At 52.2% G+C, this 21,288-nt stretch overlaps 1 non-coding gene across 1 annotated transcript, besides 4 other annotated features; it reads left to right on the top strand.

Moving 5' to 3' along the window:
* Positions 17,002-17,261: a silencer, noted in NCBI's record as "silent region_9215". NCBI's record gives its function as "represses an Ori minimal core promoter by ATAC-STARR-seq in GM12878 lymphoblastoid cells {active_cell/tissue: GM12878}" and the evidence as "EXISTENCE:reporter gene assay evidence [ECO:0000049][PMID:35858748]".
* Positions 17,002-17,374: a biological region, named in NCBI's record as "ReSE screen-validated silencer GRCh37_chr17:80452439-80452776".
* Positions 17,037-17,374: a silencer, noted in NCBI's record as "fragment chr17:80452439-80452776 (GRCh37/hg19 assembly coordinates)". NCBI's record gives its function as "represses an EF-1alpha promoter that drives an FKBP-Casp9 reporter gene in an ReSE screen in HepG2 liver carcinoma cells {active_cell/tissue: HepG2}" and the evidence as "EXISTENCE:reporter gene assay evidence [ECO:0000049][PMID:32094911]".
* On the top strand, positions 17,145-17,216 carry TRX-CAT1-8 (tRNA-iMet (anticodon CAT) 1-8). Its single transcript has one exon. It is a non-coding gene; the product is annotated as a tRNA-Met (tRNA).
* Positions 21,086-21,285: an enhancer, noted in NCBI's record as "active region_13011". NCBI's record gives its function as "activates an Ori minimal core promoter by ATAC-STARR-seq in GM12878 lymphoblastoid cells {active_cell/tissue: GM12878}" and the evidence as "EXISTENCE:reporter gene assay evidence [ECO:0000049][PMID:35858748]".

Genomic DNA, 21,288 nt, shown 5'->3' with positions numbered 1-21,288 from the left:
CAGGTATGAGCCACCGTGCCCAGCCAAAAATAATTTATTTAGACCAGGCACAGTGGCTCATGCCTATAATCTTGGCACTTTGGTAGGCCGAGGCAGGAGGATTGCTTGAGCCCAGGACTTTGAGACCAGCCTGGACAACATAGTGAGATCCCATTTCTAAAAAAATAGAAAGCCAGGTGTGGTGGCGTGTGCCTGTGAGGCAGAAGAATAGGGGACGGAGGCAGGGAACCTAAGGCTGATTCATGCTGACTTCCTAGAACTAAATCAAAAGTAAAACCCCAACTTCCCACACCTGAGTAACAAAAGGACCAGAGGCTACTCCCTTTGCAAACCCTTCCCTGCTTTCTGCGTGGCAGATGGAAAATTGGAAGTCCTTCTGATTGGTTGCTTTCCGAAACAGATCAAACTGATCACAGGCTGCTACTTCATTTGCGTGGAGTGTACACCAAGTGGCCAATGGAGAACCTCTAAGGGGTACTGGACCCCAGAAGATTCTGTAACCACGGCCCTCGAGCTGCTACTTGGGCGCCCCCACCCTGTGGAGTGTACTTTCATTTTCAATCAACGTCTGCTTCATTCTATCCTTGCTTTGCTGTGCGTTTTGTCCGATTCTTTGTTCAAAACGCCAAGAACCTGGACAACCACAGGTAACACCTGTAATCCCAGCTACTCAGGAGGCTGAGGCAGGAGGATCACTTGAGCCTTAGAGGTGGAGACTGCAGTGAACAGTGATCACACCACTGCACTCCAGCCTGGGTGACAAAGCAACACTGTCTCAAATAATAATAATAATAGGCTGGGCACAGTGGCTCACACCTGTAATCCCAGCACTTTGGGAGGCCGAGGCAGGTGGATCATTTGAGGTCAGGAGTTCAAGACCAGCCTGCCCAACGTGGTGAAACCCCATCTCTACTAAAAATACAAACATTAGCTGGGTGTGATGGCGGGCACCTGTAATCCCAGCTACTTGGGAGGCTCAAGCAGGAGAATCACTTGAACCTCGGAGGCGGAGGCTGCAGTGAACCCAGTTCATGCCACTGCACTCCAGCCTGGGCGACAGAGTGAGACTCCGTCTCAAAAATAATAATAATAATAATTGGCCATACGGCGCCCCATGCCTGTAATCTCAGTACTTTGGGAGGCCAAGGTGTGTGGATTGTTTAAGTTTAGGAGTTTGAGACCAGCCTGGGCAACATGGCGAAATGCCATCTCTACTAAAAAAAAAAAAAAAAAAAAATTGCTGGGCATGGTGGCAGCGCCTGTGGTCCCAGCTGCTCGGGAGGCTGAGGTGGGAGGGACGATCGCTGGAATGTGGGAAGTGAAGGCTGCATTGAGCCGAGATCGCACCACTATACTCCAGCCTGGTCACAGAGCAAGATCCTGTCTCAAAAAATAAAAAATAAAATAAAAATAATTATTTTAAAGATTACTGAATGAATGCTTCAAGCAAAAAAAAAATTTTTTTTTTTTTTTGAGACAGAGTCTCACTCTGTTACCCAGGCTGGAGCACAGTGGCACGACCTGGGCTCACTGCAACCTCGGCCTCCTGGGTTCAAGCGATTCTCCTGCCTCGGCGTCCCGAGTAGCTGGGACTACAGGCGCGCGCCACCACACCCAGCTAATTTTTTGGTATTTTTAGTAAAGACGGTGTTTCACCCAGTTAGCCAGAATGATCTCAATCTCCTGACCTCGTGGTCCACCCGCCTCGGCCTCCCAAAGTGCTGGGATTACAGGCGTGAGCCACCGCACCCGGCCCATTATTATTATTTTAGACAGTCTCACTCTGTCACCCAGGCTGGAGTGCAGTGGTGCAATCATGGCTCACTGCAGCCTGCGCCTCCTGGGCTCAAGTGATCCTCCTACCTCAGCTTCCTGAATAGCTAGGACTATAGGAGCACACCACCATACCCAGCTAATTTTTGTATTTTTTTTTTTGTAGAGACAGGATCTTGGTATGTTGTCCAGGTCTTGAACTCGTAGGCTCCAGTGATCTACCTGCTTCACCCTCCCAAAGTGCCAGGATTATAGGCATAAGCCACAGTGCCTGGCCTTATTATTATTTTTTAGCAGAGGGTCTCTCTCTCTTACCAAGGCTGGAATGCAGTGGCATGGTAATAGCTCACTGTATCCTAGAACTCCTGGGCTCAAGCCTGCCAAGTAGCTGGGACCACAAGTGCCCACCATATGCCCAGCTATTTTTAAAATTTTTCGTAGAGGCCGGGAGCGGCGGCCCACGCCTGTAATCCCAGCACTTTGGGAGGCCAAGGCGGGCGGATCACGAGGTCAGGAGATTGAGACCATCCTGGCTAACACGGTGAAACCCCGTCTCTACTAAAAAATACAAAAATATTAGCCGGGCATGGTGGCAGGTGCCTGTAGTCCCAGCTACTCAGGAGGCTGAGGCAGGAGAATGGCGTGAACCCGGGAGGCGGAGCTTGCAGTGAGCCGAGATTGCGCCACTGCACTCCAGCCTGGGTGACAGAGCCAGACTTCCTCTCAAAAAAAAAAAAAAAAAAAATTTTGTAGAGATGGGGTCTCACTATATTGCCCAGGCTGGTCTTGAACTCCTGTGCTCAAGCAATCCTCCCGCCTCAGTCTCCCAAAGTAATGCTGGGATTATAGGTATGAGCCACCACACCTGGACTACTTTTTTTTTTTTTTTTTAATTGAGACAGAGTCTTGCTCTGTCACCCAGGCTGGAGTGCAGTGGCGCAATATCGGCTCACTGCAACCTCTGCCTCCCGGGTTCAAGTGATTCTCCTGCCTCAGCCTCCCGAGTAGCTGGGACTACAGGGGCCCGCCACAGTGCCCGGCTAATTGTTTTATATTTTTAGTAGAGATGAGGTTTCACCATGTTAGCCAGGATGGTCTATCTCCTGACCTCGTGATCTGCCTGCCTTGGCCTCCCAAAGTGCTGGGATTACAGGTGTGAGCCACTGTGCCCGGCCACCAGCTCATTTTTTTGTTTTTGTTTTTGTTGTTGTTGTTGTTTGTTTTTTGTTTGTTTTTGTTTTTGTTTTGAGAGGGAGTCTCGCTCTGTCGCCCAGGCTGGAGTGCAGTGGTGTGATCTCGGCTCACTGCAAGCTCTACCTCCCAGGTTCACGCCGTTCTCCTGCCTCATCCTCCCGAGTAGCTGGGACTACAGGTGCCCTCCACCACGCCCGGCTAATTTTTTGTATTTTTAGTAGAGACGGGGTTTCACCGTGTTAGCCAGGATGGTCTCGATCTCCTGACCTCGTGATCCACCTGCCTTGGCCTCCCAAAGTGCTGGGATTACAGGCGTGAGCCACTGCATCCGGCCATTTTTTTGTATTTTTAGTAGAGATGGAGTTTCACCGTATTAGCCAGGATGGTCTTGATCTCCTGACCTTGTGATCCCCCCGCCTCAGTCTCCCAAAGTACAGCACCCAATTTTAAGAGTTAATGTAAAGCTATAGTAATTAAAATTGTGGAATACTGGTAAAAGAATGGTATAATAATACTGGTATAAGAACTAGCTCAGTGAGCCCAGGCACAGGGGCTCATGCCTGTAATCCCAGCACTTTGGTAGGCTGAGGCAGGTGGATCACGAGGTCAGGAGTTCAAGACCAGCCTGACCAACATGGTGAAACCCCGTCTCTACTAAAAATACAAAAATTAGCCAGGCGTGGTGGTGCACGCCGGTAATCCCAGCTACTCAGGTGGCTGAAGCAGGAGAATCGCTTGAACCTGGGAGGGGGAGGTCGCAGTGAGCCGAGATTGCGCCATTGCACTCTAGCCTGGGCGACAGAGTGGGACTCTGTCTCAAAAAAAAAAAAAAAGAAAGAAAGAAAAAAAGAAAAGAACTAGATCAGTGGAACAGCATGAAAAATCCAGAAATAGACCCCCATATACAGAGTCAATTGATTTTTGACAATAGTGCCAAGGTTGTTCAATAGGGAAAGCAAAGTCTGTTGAATAAACAGTACAGGGTATCTGATTACCAATGTTGCCCAATGCCAGGGGTTCGGCCAAGTCCAGTTGCTCACCAAATGGAAAGCCAATCATGGAGACAACGAGTATTGCCAGGGAAGAAGGCTTTATTGCAAGTGATGTCGTGATGTCAGCAGGTGACGGGAGACCAGTCTCAAATCCACTTCCCCAACCCACTGAAGTTAGGGTTTTAGATAGCAGGGAAGGAAGGTAACTATGGGTGGGAAATTAGGAAGTAGGGAGGAGTAAGGAAGAAGAGGTGGTCAACAGGCTGCTGGGGGTGGTCGGATTTAGTGTTCTGGAAAGTTTCAGCTCCCCGATACTATCTGGAAGGCCTGAGGATTGGATTCCAAAGAAAAGAACTCAGATAAAACAAATGTTAATTTTCTCAAGCTTCAAGACCAAGAGGGTCAATGTCTATGCTTAGCCAAACAAAACAAAACAAAACACTGTAAACAGTTCTATAGGAAAATTGGGCTTGTTTTAACAATAATAATAACAACAAAAGCACTAATCCCTGCCTTATGCCATACATAAAAATAAAATTCAGATGGACCTATATGCAAAGGCTAAAATTATCAAGCTCCCAAAAATAAAACATAGGAGACTGTTGGTTGGGCATGGTGGCTCACACCTGTAATCCCAGCACTTTGGGGAGGCCAAGGTGGGCGGATCACCTGAGGTCAAGAGTTCAAGACCAGCCTGGCCAACATGGTGAAACCTCATCTCTATAAAAATATAAAAATTAGCTGGGCATGATGGCGGGTGCCTGTAATTCCAGCTACTTGGGAGGCTGAGGCAGGAGAATCGCTTGAACCTGGGAGGTGAAGTTAGCAGTGAGCTGAAATCGCGCCATTGCAATCCAGCCTGGGTGACAGGGAGAGACTCCATCTCTAAAAAAGTAAAAAGTTTTTTAAAAATTAAAAAAAAAACATAGGAGACTGTCTTTGTTCCTTTGAGATAGGAAAAATTTTCTTAAGACCTAAAAAGTGATAACTATAAAAGAAAAAAATGATAATTTTATAAGAAAAAATACATTTTGCTCATCAAAACAATGAAAAATATGAAAACATGAGCCACACATTGAGAAAATATTCACAGTACATGTATCTGACAAAAGTATCTAAGCGGAATTTTTAAAAACTCCTGTAACTCCGTAATGAAAAGACAACTTAATTTTCAAAATAGGCAAGAGACTTGAAAAGCTACCTCACAAGAGAATATATATAAATAGCCAATAAACACAAAAGAAGATGTTCAATGTCATTAGTCATCAGGGAAATGCAAATTAAAACCACAGGAAGGCCAGGTGCAGTGGAGCCAGTCAGTAGTTCCAGCTACTCGGGAGGATGAGGTGGGAGGATCACTGAGGCCAGTTCAAGCCTGCAGTGAGCTATGATTGTGCCACTGCACTCTAGCCTGGGCAGCAGAGTGAGACCTCGTCTCTTAGAAAACAAAACAAACAATAAAATAAAACAGGCCGGGCGCGGTGGCTCACATATGTAATCCCAGCACTTTGGGAGGCCAAGGTGGGCGGATTACGAGGTCAGGAGTTTGAAACCAGCCTGACCAACATAGTGAAACCCTGTCTCTACTAAAAATACAAAAATTAGCTGGTCGTGGTGGTGCGTGCCTGTAGTCCCAGCTACTCAGGAGGCTGAGGGAGAAAAATTGCTTGAACCCAGGAGGTGGAGGTTGTGGTGAGCTGAGATCGTGCCACTGCACTCCAGCCTGGGTGACAGAGCAAGACTCTATCTCAAAAACAAAATAATAATAATAATAATAATAATAGGGCCAGGTGCAGTAGCTCACGCCTGTAATCCCAACACTTTGGGAGGCCAAGGCAGGCAGATCATGAGGTCAGGAGATTTAGACCCTCTTGGCTAATACGGTGAAACCCCATCTCTACTAAAAATACAAAAAATTAGCTGGCTGCGTTGGCACATGCCTGTAGTCCCAGCTACCCCAGAGGCTGAGGCAGGAGAATCGCTTGAACCTGGGAGGCAGAGGTTGCAGTGAGCCGAGATGGCACCACTGCACTCCAGCCTGGGCGACAGAGTGAGACTCTGTCTCAAAATAATAATAATAATAATAATAATAATAATAATAATAATAATAATAAATAAAATAAAATAAAAAATAGGCTGGGTGCGGTGGCTCACGCCTGTAATCCCAGCACTTTGGGAGGCCGAGGCAGGTGGACCACCTGAGGTCAGGAGTTTGAGACCAGCCTACCCAACATGGCAAAACCTCATCTCTACTAAAAACACAAAAATTAGCTGGGCACGGTGGCAGGCACCTGTAATCCCAGCTACTTGGGAGGCCGAGGCAAGATAATCGCTTGAACCCGGGAGGCAGAGGTTGCAGTGAGTTGAGATCACGCCATTGCACTCCAGCCTGGGTGGCAACAGAGCGAGACTCCATCTCAAAAAAAAAAAAATGAGCAAAAAGCCCTCACCAGTAACCAGGGCCATGCCCTTGAACTTCCCAGCCTGCAGAACCACGAGCTACATCAACCTCTTTTCTTTATAAACTACCCAGTCTCCAGTATTGTTATAGCAACACAAAATGGACTAAGTCAGCCATCCATCTCAAAAAAATAAATACATAAAAATTAAAAAGTTAAAAATTGGTAAATGTTTTATTTTTATTTCTTTATTTATTTATTTGAGATGGAGTTTTGCTCTTGTTGCCCTGGCTGGAGTGCAAGGACATGACCTTGGCTCACTGCAACCTCTGCTTCCTGGGATCAAGCGACTCTCCTGCCTCAGCCTCCTATTACAGGCGCCGCCACCACAGCCAGCTAATTTCTTTTTTTGTATTTTTAGTAGAAACAGGGTTTTACCACGTTGACCAGGCTGCTCTCAAACTCCTGAGCTAAAGTGATCCTCCTGCCTTGGCCTCCCAAAGTGCTGGGACTACAGGCGTGAGCCACTGCAACTGGCCAGTGAGATCTTTTAAATCTCACCAGATTTCAGGAACAAGTGAGATTTATAGATAAATAATACATATATTTCTTTTTCTTTTTTGAGACAGAGTCTCGCTCTGTTGCCCAGGCTGGAGTGCAGTGGTACTATCTCGGCTCATTGCAAGCTCTGCCTCCCGGGTTCACGCCATTCTCCTGCCTCAGCCTCCCGAGTAGCTGGGACTACAGGCGCCCGCCACTGTGCCTGGCTAATTTTTTGTATTTTTAGTAGAGACGGGGTTTCACTGTGTTAGCCAGGATGGTCTTGATCTTCTGACCTTGTGATCCGCCCGCCTCGGCCTCCCAAAGTACTTGGATTACAGGGGTGAGCCACCGCGCCCGGCCGAATAATACATATATTTCTAGTTGAATTTCACTTTAAACAAATGAGAGCTTCAGCGATAAATCTCATAATACCTATTTTTAAAAGAATATACTAAGACAATGTTGTTTATTTTTATAATTTGTAGAGATGAGTTCTCACTGTGTTGCATAGGCTAGAGTTGAACTCCTGGGCTCAAGTGATCCGCTTGCCTCGGCCTCCCAAAGTGCTGGGATTACAGGCATTAGCCATCTTGCTTGGAAAAGAAAATGTTTAAATTTATTGATATTAACTGGATCTGAAAGGAACTATGGTTTTGAGGCCTCCTGCACCTGAACTTCTCCGCAGACCTTCAGGAGCTCCTGGAGCTGGAGAACCTGTTCGTAACGTGTGCCCTCCAAGGGACCAGGAGGAGGCTGACCCCAGTGTCCCAATTTTAGCTGTGTCCTAGGAGGCACACAGATGAACTCCAGTCATATTCAGGTTACACAAATTGACCTTCTAAGTGAATGCACCGTGTCTGGAAGAGCCTCCTCAGGATGTGTCCTGGAGTGCAGGCAGGCGCAGCAGGAGCTCCCCTGCAACCTCTGTGTTCTGAGCCACGTGCATCTGAGTGTGAGAAGAGCCTCAAGGACAGCCGGGGAGGGGAGCTGAAGCTTCACGGGGGCACGAGGCTCGGGGCCTCCCTCGCAGCGCCAGGCGTCCCCTGGTGACCACGTACAGAGTTCTCTAGCTGCTTCAGCCTGGTGGTCTGGGCTGCCCTTCTGAATCTCTGTGCTCAAACTGGTGTTCCCCAAAGCTCACATGGAAAAACAGATCCACATGCAGCACACAGACAGTCGGACAGACTCTAGCTTGACAGTGAAAGGCTGTTTTTAAACGGAGCGGCCCGTGTCACCTCAGCTCGGGGCCTCCGCTCCCCAGAACCTGCACCCCCGGGTGCTCCTGCGGATGCTTCGCGTTTGTGGTGGCGTCCCTGTTCCTCCCACCTCCTAGGCTCCAAAGCTCAGGGCTGCCATGTACTCATTTGCTCGTCCAGGACACTTCCCTCCTCCATTCTCATGCTGGGCACTGGGCCGGATTCCAGGGCCCACTTGAGCAGAGGGGCACAGACCCCACCTTCATGAGGCCAGGGGGAAAGCAGCCGTGACTTGGGTCATCATCACCCGGGACCTGCACCCAAATTCCTCACACACTGCCAGCCCCATTCCCCAGGCCCCCTGCCCACCTGTGCGCCTCAGCTCATGACCCCGCCCACCAGCCTGCAAGACCTGCTCCCACAGCCCCTCCGTCAGCCACCCGACCACCTACTACTGCACAGTGAGGGTTACTGCTTCTCCTGAGTGGCTGCCCTGCCTAGCATCACCTCTGCAGCTGAGAGTCTGGGACAGTCATTTATTTACACACACATTCTCCCCAACAGACTCTGAGCTCTGAGTGGGGCTTGGGATCAGGGTCAGCACTTGTCACATGCAGAATCAGGCTGGAGAAATTTCACAAAAAATTAACGTTCCAAGCAGTTACTATTCACTGACTCGTGCAAAAACCTATTCTGAGCTTCTGTGAAGCACAGAGAATCAAGATGAAAATCCCTCTGCTGGGCGTGGTGGCTCACGCCTGTAATCCCAGCACTTTGAGAGGCCAAGGTAGAGGATCACTTCAGCCCAGGAGTTTGAGACCAGCCTGGCCGACAAAGTAAGATGCTGTCTTTTTTTTTTTTTTTTTTTTTTTGAGACGGAGTCTCGCTCCGTTGCCCAGGCTGGAGTGCAGTGGCGCGATCTCAGCTCACTGCAAGCTCCGCCTCCCGGGTTCACGCCATTCTCCTGCCTCAGCCTCCTGAGTAGCTGGGACTACAGGTGCCCGACAGCATGCCCGGCTAATTTTTTGTATTTTAGTAGAGATGGGGTTTCACCATGTTAGCCAGGATGGTCTCGATCTCCTGACCTCGTGATCCACCCACCTCGGCCTCCCAAAGTGCTGGGATTACAGGCGTGAGCCACCGCCCCTGGCCAGACACTGTCTTTACCAAAAAAAGTTTGTTTTTAATTAGCCGAGCATGGTGACACGTGCCTGTAGTCTCAGCTACTTGGGAGGCTGAGGGAGGAGCTCACTTGAGCCCAGGAGTTTGAGGCTGGCTGCAGTGAGCTGAGATCACACCACTGCAGCCTGGCCTGGGTGACAAAATGAGATCCTGTCTCTAAAAAAAAAAGAAAAAGAAAGAAACCAAACAGTTCTAGACATGCCTGCGTACACGGGCCAAGTGCACACACGTTTCCTGGCTCAGTCCCCTGAGATGCCGAGAAATGATGACATTCCAGTAGCAACGTGCACGGCCAGTGCCCAGATGTTGATTCCTAACACCATTCTTCAACAAAATCGCCAGTGCTCCTTGGACAAATGTTAAGAAACTGCCAAACCTTTCCAAAGTGACTGCCCCATTCTGTACCCCGCCAGCCATGTAGCAGGGTCCCACTTGCTCTTCCCAACTCTTGGCATGACCACACTTCTTTTTTTTTGAGATGGAGTTTTGCTCTTGTTGCCCAGGCTGGAGGGCAGTGGTGCAATCTCAGCTCACTGCAACCTCTGCCTCCTGAGTTCAAGCGATTCTCCTGCCTCAACCTCCCGAGTAGCTGGGATTACAGGCACCCACTACCAAGCCCAGCTAATTTTTGTATTTTTAATAGAGACGGGGTTTCACCATGTTGCCAGACTGGTCTCGAGCTCCTGACCTCAGGTGATCCGCCCGCCTCAGCCTCCCAAAGTGCTGGGGTTACAGGGGTGAGCCACCGCACCCGGCCATGACCACCCTTTTCTTTCATCACAGTCACTCCAGTGGGTACGTGGTGGCATCTCATTGTGGTGTTATGCTGGGTATCTTTTTTTTTTGGAGACATGGTCTTACTCTGTCACCCTGGCTGGAGTGTAGTAGTGGTACGATCTCGGCATACTGCAGCCTCAACCTCCCAGGTTCAAGCAGTCCTCCCACCTCAGCCTCCCAAGTAGCTGGGACTACAGGTGTGCACCACCACGCTCGGCTAAATTTTGTATTTTTTGTACAGATGCGGTTTTGCCATGCTGCCCAGTCTGGTCTCAAACTCCTGGCCTGAAGTGATCCGCCAGCCTTGGCCTCCCGAAGTCCTGGGGTTGCAGGCGAGAGCCACCGTGCCCGGCCTGTGCATCTTTTCATGGGTTGACTAACCATGATCACAGCACAGGTTTTTTAGTCCCCGCTGTCTACAGAATCAGAGAATGTGAGTGTCCAGGCTAGGGGACTTGGTAGAGGGAAGAAAGCTGGAGACTGAGAGTCAAGGTCTTTGCCTCCACTGGGGGTGGAGGTAGAGGGTGGGGAGGCAGGACCTGGGACCCAGGTCTCCACTGGCTATTGCCAACACTGCATGATCAAGTCTACACCTCTTGCTCCTGCTACCAGTGACTCCACACCTCCACAGCCATAATTTTAGAAAAATCTTTTGGCTGGGCGCAGTGGCTTATGCCTGTAATCCTAGCACTTTGGGAGGCCGAGGAGGGTGGATCATTTGAGGTCAGGAGTTCGAGACCAGCCTGGCCAACACGGTGAAACCTCGTCTCTACTAAAAATACAAAAATTAGCCGGGCGTGGTGGTGAGCACCTGTAATCCCAGCTACTCGGGAGGCTGAGGCAGGAGAATCGCTTCAACCTGGGAGGTGGAAGTTGCAGTGAGCCGAGATCACACCACTGCACTCCAGCTTGGGCGACAGAGTAAGACTCCCTCTCAAAAAAAAAAAAAAAATTTTTTTTTTGGCTGGGCACAGTGGCTCATGCCTGTAGTCCCAGCTACTCACGAGGCTGAGGTGGGATGATCCCTGGAGTCCAGGAGTTTGAGTTCACCTGGCCAAAGAGGCTGGCTGGGAAGATCTGAGGCCCAGCCATAGGGCCCCAGGTAGGGCAGTGTCCACCCTGCCTCCTGGGGAAGCACTGGAGGAGGCATGGGGGTTGTGCTGGGCTCTGCAGTCCCTTCGACCCAGCTATGCTATGGCCAGCTGCCACGTGCTCACCTGGCCAGAAATTGACCCACGGGGCTCCTGACCACTAGCCCCAGGCAAGAGGAGCACACAAGGCTTGGGGAGATCAAGCTTTGAAATACTTCCCAACACACAGTCTGGAACATTCTCCGAACATCTGACTCCCATAGTGTGAGCAGAGAACCTACTCTTGAATGCTGGTCAGGATGGGAAATCCCTCCTGGAGGGCAGATTCTATGGAGCTGGTCCCTGCCCCACAGCAGAAATTTTGCTGCAGTGAACCATTTCTTGGAATGCCTGTGCTTGCAGGGCACACGCCTGTGGCAGCACCAACTGTGATCCCTGGAGTGTGAAGTCACATCAAGGCTTTGCACATCTGAAACATATGCAATTGTCCTGAGAAATTCTGGAAGTTCCAGAAGAAATAACACACAAATTGCTAATAACACAGCAAAAGTAGCTGAAGAGATGTGTGTTCTCAGGACAGAACCCCTTCACACACTCGCAAGTCAGTATGTGTGGTGTATTGTTATTTTGTTTATTTATTGATGGAGTCTCTGTCTGTCGCCCAGGCTGGAGTGCAGTGACATGATCTCTGCTCACTGCAACCTCCACTTCCTAGGTTCAAGCGATTCTCCTGCTTCAGCCTCCCGAGTAGCTGGGACGACAGGCGCATGCCACCATGCCCGGCTAAATTTTTGTATTTTTTTTTTTTTTTTTTTGAGACGGAGCCTCGCTCTGTCGCCCAGGCTGGAGTGCAGTGGCGTGATCTGGGCTCACTGCAAGCTCCGCCTCCCGGGTTCACGCCATTCTCCTGCCTCAGCCTCCCAAGTAGCTGGAACTACAGGCATCCACCACCACACCCAGCTAATTTTTTGTATTTTTAGTAGAGACGGGGTTTCACCACGTTAGCCAGGATGGTCTTGATCTCCTGACCTCACGATCCGCCTGCCTTGGCCTCCCAAAGTGCTGGGATTACAGGCGTGAGCCACCGCGCCCGGTGAATTTTTTGTATTTTTAGTAGAGATGGGGTTTCATTGTGTTAGCCAGGATGGTCTCGATCTCCTGACCTCGTGATCCGCCCACCTCAGCCTCCCAAAGTACTGGGATTACAGGCGTGAGCCACCGCATCCGGCCAGTGTATTGTTATTTTATTACACAATTGTGGAGCTCAAGACAAAGTACTGTATCACAACAGAAATTAAAAACACTAATGGTCAAAACCATGAAGGAAAAGAATCGTCGTAACTAAAAAAATATGGAGAATGAAAATGACGATACAGACATTATGAGAGAACACACCAAACAGAAAGCAAAGATGCAGAAGGGAGCTGAAGGTCACAGACAGGAAAACCACAGCTGGTCCAGTCAGCAGGACACACACTGGGCTGGCCACAGACACACCCACAAATTTGCTGGTTTCAGTACCACGCTGTCTCATTACACCTGTTACGACGAGCAGTAATTCCACTCAACACTTTTTAGTGGAAGATTTATTGTTCAAGATTCCGATCCTGCAACTTGCACTTAATCAACTAAAACACATCAGACAAAACAGATGCTTCTCAAAACATTTTGAAACCATTTTTTTTTTTGGAGACAGAGTCTCGCTCTGTCACCCAGGCTGGAGTCCAATGGCACCATCTCGGCTCACTGAAGCTCCGCCTCCCGGGTTCAAGCGATTCTCCTGCCTCAGCCTCTCGAGTAGCTGGGATTACAGGCGCCACCACGCCGCGCTAATTTTTTGTATTTTAGTACAGGCGGGGTTTCACCATGTTGTCCAGGCTGGTCTTGAACTCCTGAACTCAGGCAATCTGTCCACGTAGGCCTCTCAAAGTGCTAGGATTACAGGGGTGAAACACCACTCCCGGCCAAAATAGGTTTTTTTAAACAGAAAAACTGCCACCTGATGTTGGTTAGTCTTTCCTAAGACTAAACATTGCCTATGTTGTTTGGTTGTATAGGTTTTTAAACCAGACCGACATTACCTACATCAGGGAGTCTTTTACATAAATGAATACCGGTTTTTTTTTTTTTTTTTTTTTTTGAGACAGAGTCTCACTGTCACTCAGGCTGGAGGGCAGTGGCACGATCTCGGCTCACTGTAACCTCCGCCTCCCAGGTTCAAGTGATTCTCCTGCCTCAGCCTCCCGATAGCTGGGATTACAGGCACACACCACCACGCCCGGCTAATTTTTGTATTTTTAGTAGAGACGGGGTTTCACCATGTTGGCCAGGATGGTCTCGATCTCTTGATCTTGTGATCCACCCGCCTCGGCCTCCCAAAGTGCTGGGATTACAGGCATGGGCTACCGCGCCCGGCCCCATCAGTGAGTATCTTGAGAACCCTCAACAATCACAAAGGCTCCGCATAGCACACGAAGGATTTGTGGACTTGAGTCACACAGAAATCACGAACAGAATGTACGTGGTGTCATTAGTGAAGAAGAGTGAATAGTAAACATGGAAGTCAGCCTGCGTTTCTCCGGAAATCACAACGCTGGAAAGCTGGTATTAAGCCGCTCTGGGCCGGGCGGGGTTGCTCACACCTGCACTCCCAGCGCGTAGGAGGCCGAGGCGGGAGGATCCACGGAGCTCAGGAGTTCGAGACCAGCGTGAGCAACAGTGTGAGACCCACCCCCCCACCCACCCCCAGTCCTCTACCAAAGACAAAGGAAAAACGCTACCGGGAAGACGCGCGGAATTCCGGGCCAGTCACTGCGCGGGGCACTTGAAATGCCTGAAATCCTTCCCGTCACATAGGAGAGGTTGGGCCAGATCTGACAGCAACCCTCAAAGTGTCTAGAGCGTTGCCAAAGAGAATACACAGTGGACAGAAGCTTTTCTAAATGCCCCATAATAACAAGCACGTTTACATCCACCGGGGGAAAGGAAAGAAGGCCCTTTCTATTCTCTCCTAAAAGCAGCACCTTCAATCATCGCCGCGTCAAGCGGCAGAGCCTGCAGCCCGCACTTTAGGGCACCGCGTTCGTTTCAGGCGGGACTGGGGAGTTCTCCGAGCGCGGGGGGTGTGGGCGCCGCCCGTTCCCCGGCGACCACATTCGAATACCCAGCGTCTCACTGGGTTTCCTAAGGAGAGGCGCGGGCTGCTCAGCCCTCACGTGCTCGGACGCGGCCCCAGCGTCCCGAGCCTGTCCCGAGCGCCGAGGGAGGGCGGCGGGGTCTGGGTGGGTGGGAGGGAGGCCGGCGGGGTCTGGGTGGGAGGGAGGTCGGCGGGGGTGGGAGGGAGGCCGGCGGGGTCTGAGTGGGAGGGAGGCCGGCGGGGTCTGGGTGGGAGGGAGGTCTCCCGCCCCGCCGCGCTGTGGAGGACAACTCGCGCCTCCTGCTGCGCATGCTCGGACTGCGCACTCCCGTGAGGGCCGGGGCTGCGCGCGAAGGCGTCTGCGAGCAGTTGACAAACCACCCACGTGACCTCCCACGTGACGGCCGGCGGCTCCCGCGGAGGAGCAAGAACGGTCAAGGAGCGGGGCCCTCGCCTCCGCCTTCAGAGGCGCCAGCTCCGTCCGCAAACCCGGGGGGAAGCGGGTGGGGACCTGAGGCGGCGCCTGCGATGCCGCAGCTTCGTAGTCGGGCTTCCGCGCCGGGGATCTGCACGAGCAAACGCTTCCGGCGCGCGCGGCTGGCGCTGGCCCGACTGACGCTCGGGCATCCCGGGTAGAAGCCGTGGGCGCATCTGCCAGGAGCGTGGGAAAGATGCTGGTGCCGACCTCCCCCTCTAAGGCTGTGTGGAGGAGGACGCCCGATGCCCCTCTTTTGGGCCAGCTGCCTCCGGAGGGCGAGCGGCTGAGAGGAAAATCGGTTTCCCACCTGCACGGGCCCATCACCTGTTGCTGCCATCGTGGGCTGGCGGGCGTCGTGCAGGGGCAGCGACAGTGGGTTCCTGCAGGGACGCAGATACGACCAGGTCCAGCCTCAGGGTCTTTTCCGGCCTGGCCCCTGCGCCTTCCACAGAAGGATGAGTGAGGCCACCTGTCACCAGGTGCGGGCTGCCCCACCCCACTAGTATTGCGATGTGTGGTTGGTCGCTAAAATATTTTAGCAGGAGCCCTTGCCCGGGCAGGCTTGACGAAGAAAGAAGCCTGGGCGTGCCCTCCTTCCGTGTTCTCATGACCATTTTGGTCCGAGGCCATAAAACAAGCATCACTAAGGTGGCTGGAGAGTCTGGCCGTCATGTTTAGATTGCTTCGTACACCCAGAAGAGTAGGGACCATCTCTTCTCAACTTCTGGGCCTGTTGCAAGAAGTCCATCCACATACCTCATCAGCAAGCCTTTGACACCAACCCTCCAATCTGGTTTTGAGCCTAGCAGCTTGGCCAAGCCCTGGGACAGTTCTGAGCTGCTCAGAAGGTTCCCTCTGTCTTCTCCCAGTCGACACCTTTTCACCTCTGTGCCTGTACCTGTGTGCTTGGGTCTGTAAGACTCACACAACACCCATTAGACTGCGGAGGTGAAGGTTTGCAGTACAGGCCTGTGGGTGCAGCACAGGGAGCCTCACCCCATCGGCAGCCCCCAGTCTGGAGGTTCTGGGCCCAGGGCTGCACCCTGTGCCCTGCCAGGTGCCAGCAACATCACGGAGCTCCCTGGCTGCAGGCTCTGCCTCAGCCTCCCCTCCCTCCCGTGCTCTTGGCAACGTGTCCATACATGTAGGGCCACACCTACTTCCTGTAGTGCTTTGGGATGTGTCCTCTAGGCCCACCTCCGCCTTTCTTACCTGAGGCCGCCTGGAAGGCAGAGGGCAAGACAGCTAAGCGGCTGCAGCCAATGGGAGGCACGGGCAAGGAGATTGGAGGGTGGAGGAGAGAGAGGCTTGGGTATTCCCCAGCTCTTTCTCTGCCTGGCCTAGGGTCGATGGCTCCTCTCAGGGGAGCCATGCCTCCTGTTTGGTGGCCCATCCCATTAGCTCCAGCTCTCACAGGGTCCAGGCTCCTGGGAAGGATGCACCCTGCCCTGAGGGCTCAGGCCTCGGTGCTGACCGTGGCTTGTGTCGAGATGCTCCTCACAGACAGTTCATTAGACTAGCTGCAGCTATCTCCTTTGAGTGTCCCGGCTCATACTTTCAGTTGGATCCCAGGAGTTTCAGTCTTTTTTTTGTTTTGTTTTTTGAGACTGGGGTCTGGCTCTGTCACCCAGGCTGGAGCGCAGTGGCATGATCTTTGCTCTCTGCTTCCTGGGCTCAAGCGATCCTCCCACCTCAGCCTCCTGAGTAGCTGGGACTACAGGCGTTGGCTGCCAACCCCTGGCTATTTTTTTTTTTATTTTTATTTTTTGTAGAGGCCGGGGGGGGGGGGTCTCCCTGTGTTGCCCAGGCTGGTCTCAAACTCCTGAGCCTCAGCCTCCCAGAGTGCTGGGATTACAGCGTAAGCCACCATGCCCAGCCAACTTTTTTTTTTTTTTTTTGAGACAGAGTTTCACTCTTGTTGCCCAGGCTGGAGTGCAGTGGTGCGATCTCGGCTCACCGCAACCTCCACTTCCTGGGTTCAAGCAATTCTGCCTCAGCCTCCCGAGTAGCTGGGATTACAGGCATGCGCCACCACGCCCGGCTAATTTTGTATTTTTAGTAGAGACAGGGTTTCTCCATGTTGGTCAGGCTGGTCTCGAACTCCCGACCTCATGTGATCTGCCTGCCTTGGCCTCCCGAAGTGCTGTGATTACAGGCGTGAGCCACTGTGCCCGGCCTCCAGCCAATGTTTTAACAGCAGAAAAGGACATGAATTCAGAGAGTTTTATCTACAAGAAGTTGAGAGAGGAGGAGTAGGCTTATAATTGAGCATGTGCCTTGCCCAGCCAGTCCTCTGTTGGCCCCTCTTGGCCAGTAGGGGTCGCCGCCTGCAGGGAGATGACTCCTGTGGTCATGATCTGACTCAGGCTCCCCCCTTATAGCCAGCAGAGTGGCGCAGCGGAAGCGTGCTGGGCCCATAACCCAGAGGTCGATGGATCGAAACCATCCTCTGCTATAGACTCCCTTTTCTTTCCTGACTGGGCAGCCTGTGGCCCATAATTCTTCTCCAGGCCCCAATAACGTCCCTGTTTGTGTCAAGGCACGGAGGACAGGCAACAGCAGCAATCTGAGTTCAAATCTTGATGTGAGCATACCTTGCCTCATAGCTTTGTCCCAGAAATTGTGGCAGTTGTGGGCTCATTGCCCTCTGCATTCCCTGGCTTGGGCAAAATGCCTCCCTGGGAGCAAGGGAGGGGTTTTGCACTCCTCAGTCCTCTTCTCTGTGTGTCCACCTGGCCCGGGACCCCCCATCAGTACCTGCTCCTGGCTTAGAGAACAGGGTCTGGCACAGGACATGCATCCTTTGTCTGCAGCATTTTCGAGGCTTTGAAACCTCCCTGGCCACACTTAGGTCTGCTCCTCCACGTGGCCGAAGGTGCCTGCAGAGGCTGGCATTCTTCTCCCTGTCTGGCTGCCAGGGAGCCTCCTGCCATCAACCGACTCACTAGAGACCCCTCCAGGTAAGGAACCCAGCAAGTGTTTTCCTGACAAAAGGGTCTGGCTGGATCCCCATCCTCTCTTCCCTTCCTCTCCTGAGGGAGTGGGCTTAGGGGTTCCTGCCTTTTCTTTCCCTCTTAACGTTTCTCTCTCTCTCTCTCTCTCTCTCTCTCTCTCTCTAGTTTTCGCTAGAAGATCAAGGCCAGGTGCAGTGGCTCACACCTGTAACCCCAGCACTTTGGGAGGCTGAGGCAGGTGGATCGCTTGAGGTCGGGAGTTGGAGACCAGCCTGGGCAACATGGTGAAACCCCGTCTCTACAAAAATATACAAAAATATTAGCTGGGTGTGGTGGCTGGCGCCTGTAGTCCCAGCTACTCGGAGTGTGAGAGATCTCTTGGGCCTGGTAGGTCGAAGCTGCAGTGAGCTGAGATTGCACCACTGCACTCCAGCCTGGGTGACAGAACGAGAACCTGTCTCAAAAAAAAAAAAAAAAAAAAAAGGGCTGGAGTGTCACGGCCCTCTGGGTTGGCATTCTCGCTCCACTGACATCATCAGAAGCTGGAGGTGAGAACCTCCCTCCAACAGGAGAGAAATGCAGCCGCAGTACTCACTCCCTGTACATCCCAGCACCAGGTCCTGGCATCCCACGTGGACACACAGTGCCCATGATGATGCACTGACATCCCAAAATGCCAGTGCTGCCGCCTGGCTGTGTCCAGACTGGCTCAGGGACAGAATCTTCAGGTGCCACAGCCCAGGACACCGGGCCTGGAGTGGGGAAGGAGTGCCAGCTGCTACATGGTCTTTCCTTTACAGGGCAAAAACGAGTGGGGAAATAGCAGGACACACGCCCTGATGGTGGCTAAAGCCGAAGACAGAGGAACAGGAGGATTCTGCCAAGATTGATGCGAGACAAAGGCTTAGGGGCAACAGAGAGCAGGCGAAGTGTTACTTAACTTACCAGGACACCTAGCTGGTGCAGAGGCAGACCCAGCACACACCTCAGATGAGGGCCACATTGCTGCTCAGACCATGGCATCCAACAGCGGTCCTGTGTCCTGGCTTGATGCAAGGTCTCCCGATTCCAACTAGGATATTGGATGGCAAATGCAGCCACCCAAAATGCACTTCTCTGCCCCTCTCTGAGGCCCTCCGTGTGGCTGGGCACAGTTAGGATGAGATGCCCAGAGTTAGCAAAACAGACGCTGACGCCACTGTGCCACCCAGAGCAGAAGGCTAACCCGCCACAAAGAGCTGGCAGAGTTATGAAAAGTAAGGTTGGAGGTTTTTTTAACTGTAACTTTTACACTTTAAGAAAGCGTTCAAGGCTATGATTAACATAAATCAAAGGACAGTAATCCTATGAGTCACTATATTTGCAATACGTCCAAGCAGTCGGGGTGAGAGTATCTGGAATCTGGTGACGGGCTCGCCGGGTCAGGCCCATGGTTGGCAGCCACTGCTCCCGCTCCAGTCCCCCCTCCCAAATCCACTGCCACTCATCCACACTCACCATGCAGATGCCATGTCTGTCACTCTGGCTTGCCAGGTTTTCTTTCTTATTCTAACCAAATTTCAAATCAGGCTGGTGTGGTGGCTCACGCCTGTAATCCCAGCACTTTGGGAGGCTGAGGGGAGAGGATCACTTGAGCCCAGGAGCTCGAGACCAGCCTGGGCAACATGGCAAAACCCTGTCTGCACAGAAAGTACAAAAAATTAGCTGGGAGTAGTGGCGCATGCCTGCAGTCCCAGCTATTCAGGAGGCTGAAGTGGGAGGATTGATTGAGTCTGAGAGGTTGAGTCTGCAGTAAGCCATGATGGTGCCATTGTACTCCAACCTGGGTGATAGGGCCAGACCCTGTCTCAAAAAAAAAAAAAAAAAAGTCCATGTCAGGACATAAACATCTATTTTATACTTTAACCACTCCTAGAACCCCCAGGATGTCCTGACACTTGCCCCGATGGGCTTTTAGTTCGGTGTTGTAGCTTGTTTACACCAATGCAGACATAGAACAGATATTCTCCAGGTCCTGCGCACTGGGCACCTGTGAGGTGGACTGCTCCAGGGAAAGTTCCTAACAGCTAAACTATACGACTTTCATCAAGTTGGGGCGTTACTGCCAAACTGCACTCCAGCCAGCAGTCGTGAGCACCCCCTCTTCTTACTCAGCTGAATACTTAATAAAAATCTTTGCCTATTGGACAATTCGCATTACAACTTTGAAGTGTTCAGCCCTGGCACCTGCTCTCCTTGATTTCAGAACACAAGGCTCATCCTCAGAACGCAGAGCCGGCCTCTATCCAAAACCCACAAGGCTCATCCTCAGAATGCAGAGCCGGCCTCTACCCAAAACCGACAGCTCGCCCCCTGCAGCGGCGGACTGAGGGCTCCTAACCATGAGATGAGGGTTGATCTGCTTTAGACAGATGCTCTGTTCGAAGTGGAAACTTAAACACCGGGCCCCATCTGGAGGCCAAGTGGCCTTGGGCAAGTCAGCCCCTGCCTGGGCCGCAATTCCCTCCTCTGACATCTCTGGCCTAGACTCGGCGTGAAGGTCACACGACTGTGGCAGGCCATGTGTCCAGACGCCTCAGTTGCTCAGCTCTGGGCCCGCAGATGAGGCCATGGGACACCCTCAAAGCCGGCACACACCCAAGGGTTCACCCTAGATCTACATCCCAGGCAAGCGGCAAACCAACAGGCAGGCACAGTGGATGAGCCCATTTGCAACTGCAGCAACACTAAGGACCAGTGCGGACAGTCTACACTGGCTGCGACGAGTACAAGCTCTCAGGCCAGGTGGAAATGGAATTGAGAAACCTAGGCGCTGCCCATCAGACCACAGGCACCGAACAGCAGATCTGTTCACTGGGATGGCAACACGTTTATCAGCTCAGACGTGTTCCGGTCCCCTGCAGTACATGGCAGCACCAGAGCACACATGGCCATGTTCCTACATGGTGGTGCCAGCACGGGATGCCACCCAGGGCTCATCTCGTCCTCCTCCTCCTCCTCCTCCTCACACCAGGACCAGCCTGGCTCACTAGTGGGCATGGGCCGGGCACACCATCCCCCCAGGTCAGCCTGGATCACCAGCGGGCACGGGCCGGGCACACCATCCCCCCAACCAGCGTGCTGCCTCATGCCAGGACCAGCCTGGCTCACCAGCAGGCACGGGCCAGGCACACCATCCCTCCCGACCAGTGTGCTGCCTCCACATCTAGGCGCCTTGGCCTGACGGCTAATACCGTTCCGGTTACAATGAAGGAAATCTCGCCACTTTTCTCCTGTGCAGAAGAAAATGCACACAGTCCCCATGGCTATAACCCACCAGCAGGCACGGGGGACCTCTGGTGTCTCATGTTGGTGCCCAGTGCCTCAGCCTGGCCTCCCCACGCGACCTGCAGGGGCGGCTTCACGGCAGGCCAGCTGTGGTGCCCTGCGCAGTGGTTACTGCAGGAGGTGATCTCTTCACTGTAGCTGGACAAGGGTGGCCCTCTACCGACTTCTGGTGTTCTAGGCCTGGTGAGCAGCTTCCTGGAGGGAGACAGAGGACTCTCCTGACTCCACACCAGGTGGTGGCTCAGA

Source organism: Homo sapiens, chromosome 17, assembly GCF_000001405.40.
Source record: "Homo sapiens chromosome 17, GRCh38.p14 Primary Assembly".
Taxonomy (NCBI): Eukaryota; Metazoa; Chordata; class Mammalia; order Primates; family Hominidae; genus Homo; species Homo sapiens.
The sequence above is the reverse complement of the archived record's forward strand: the minus strand, read 5'-3'. Positions and strand labels throughout refer to the sequence as shown.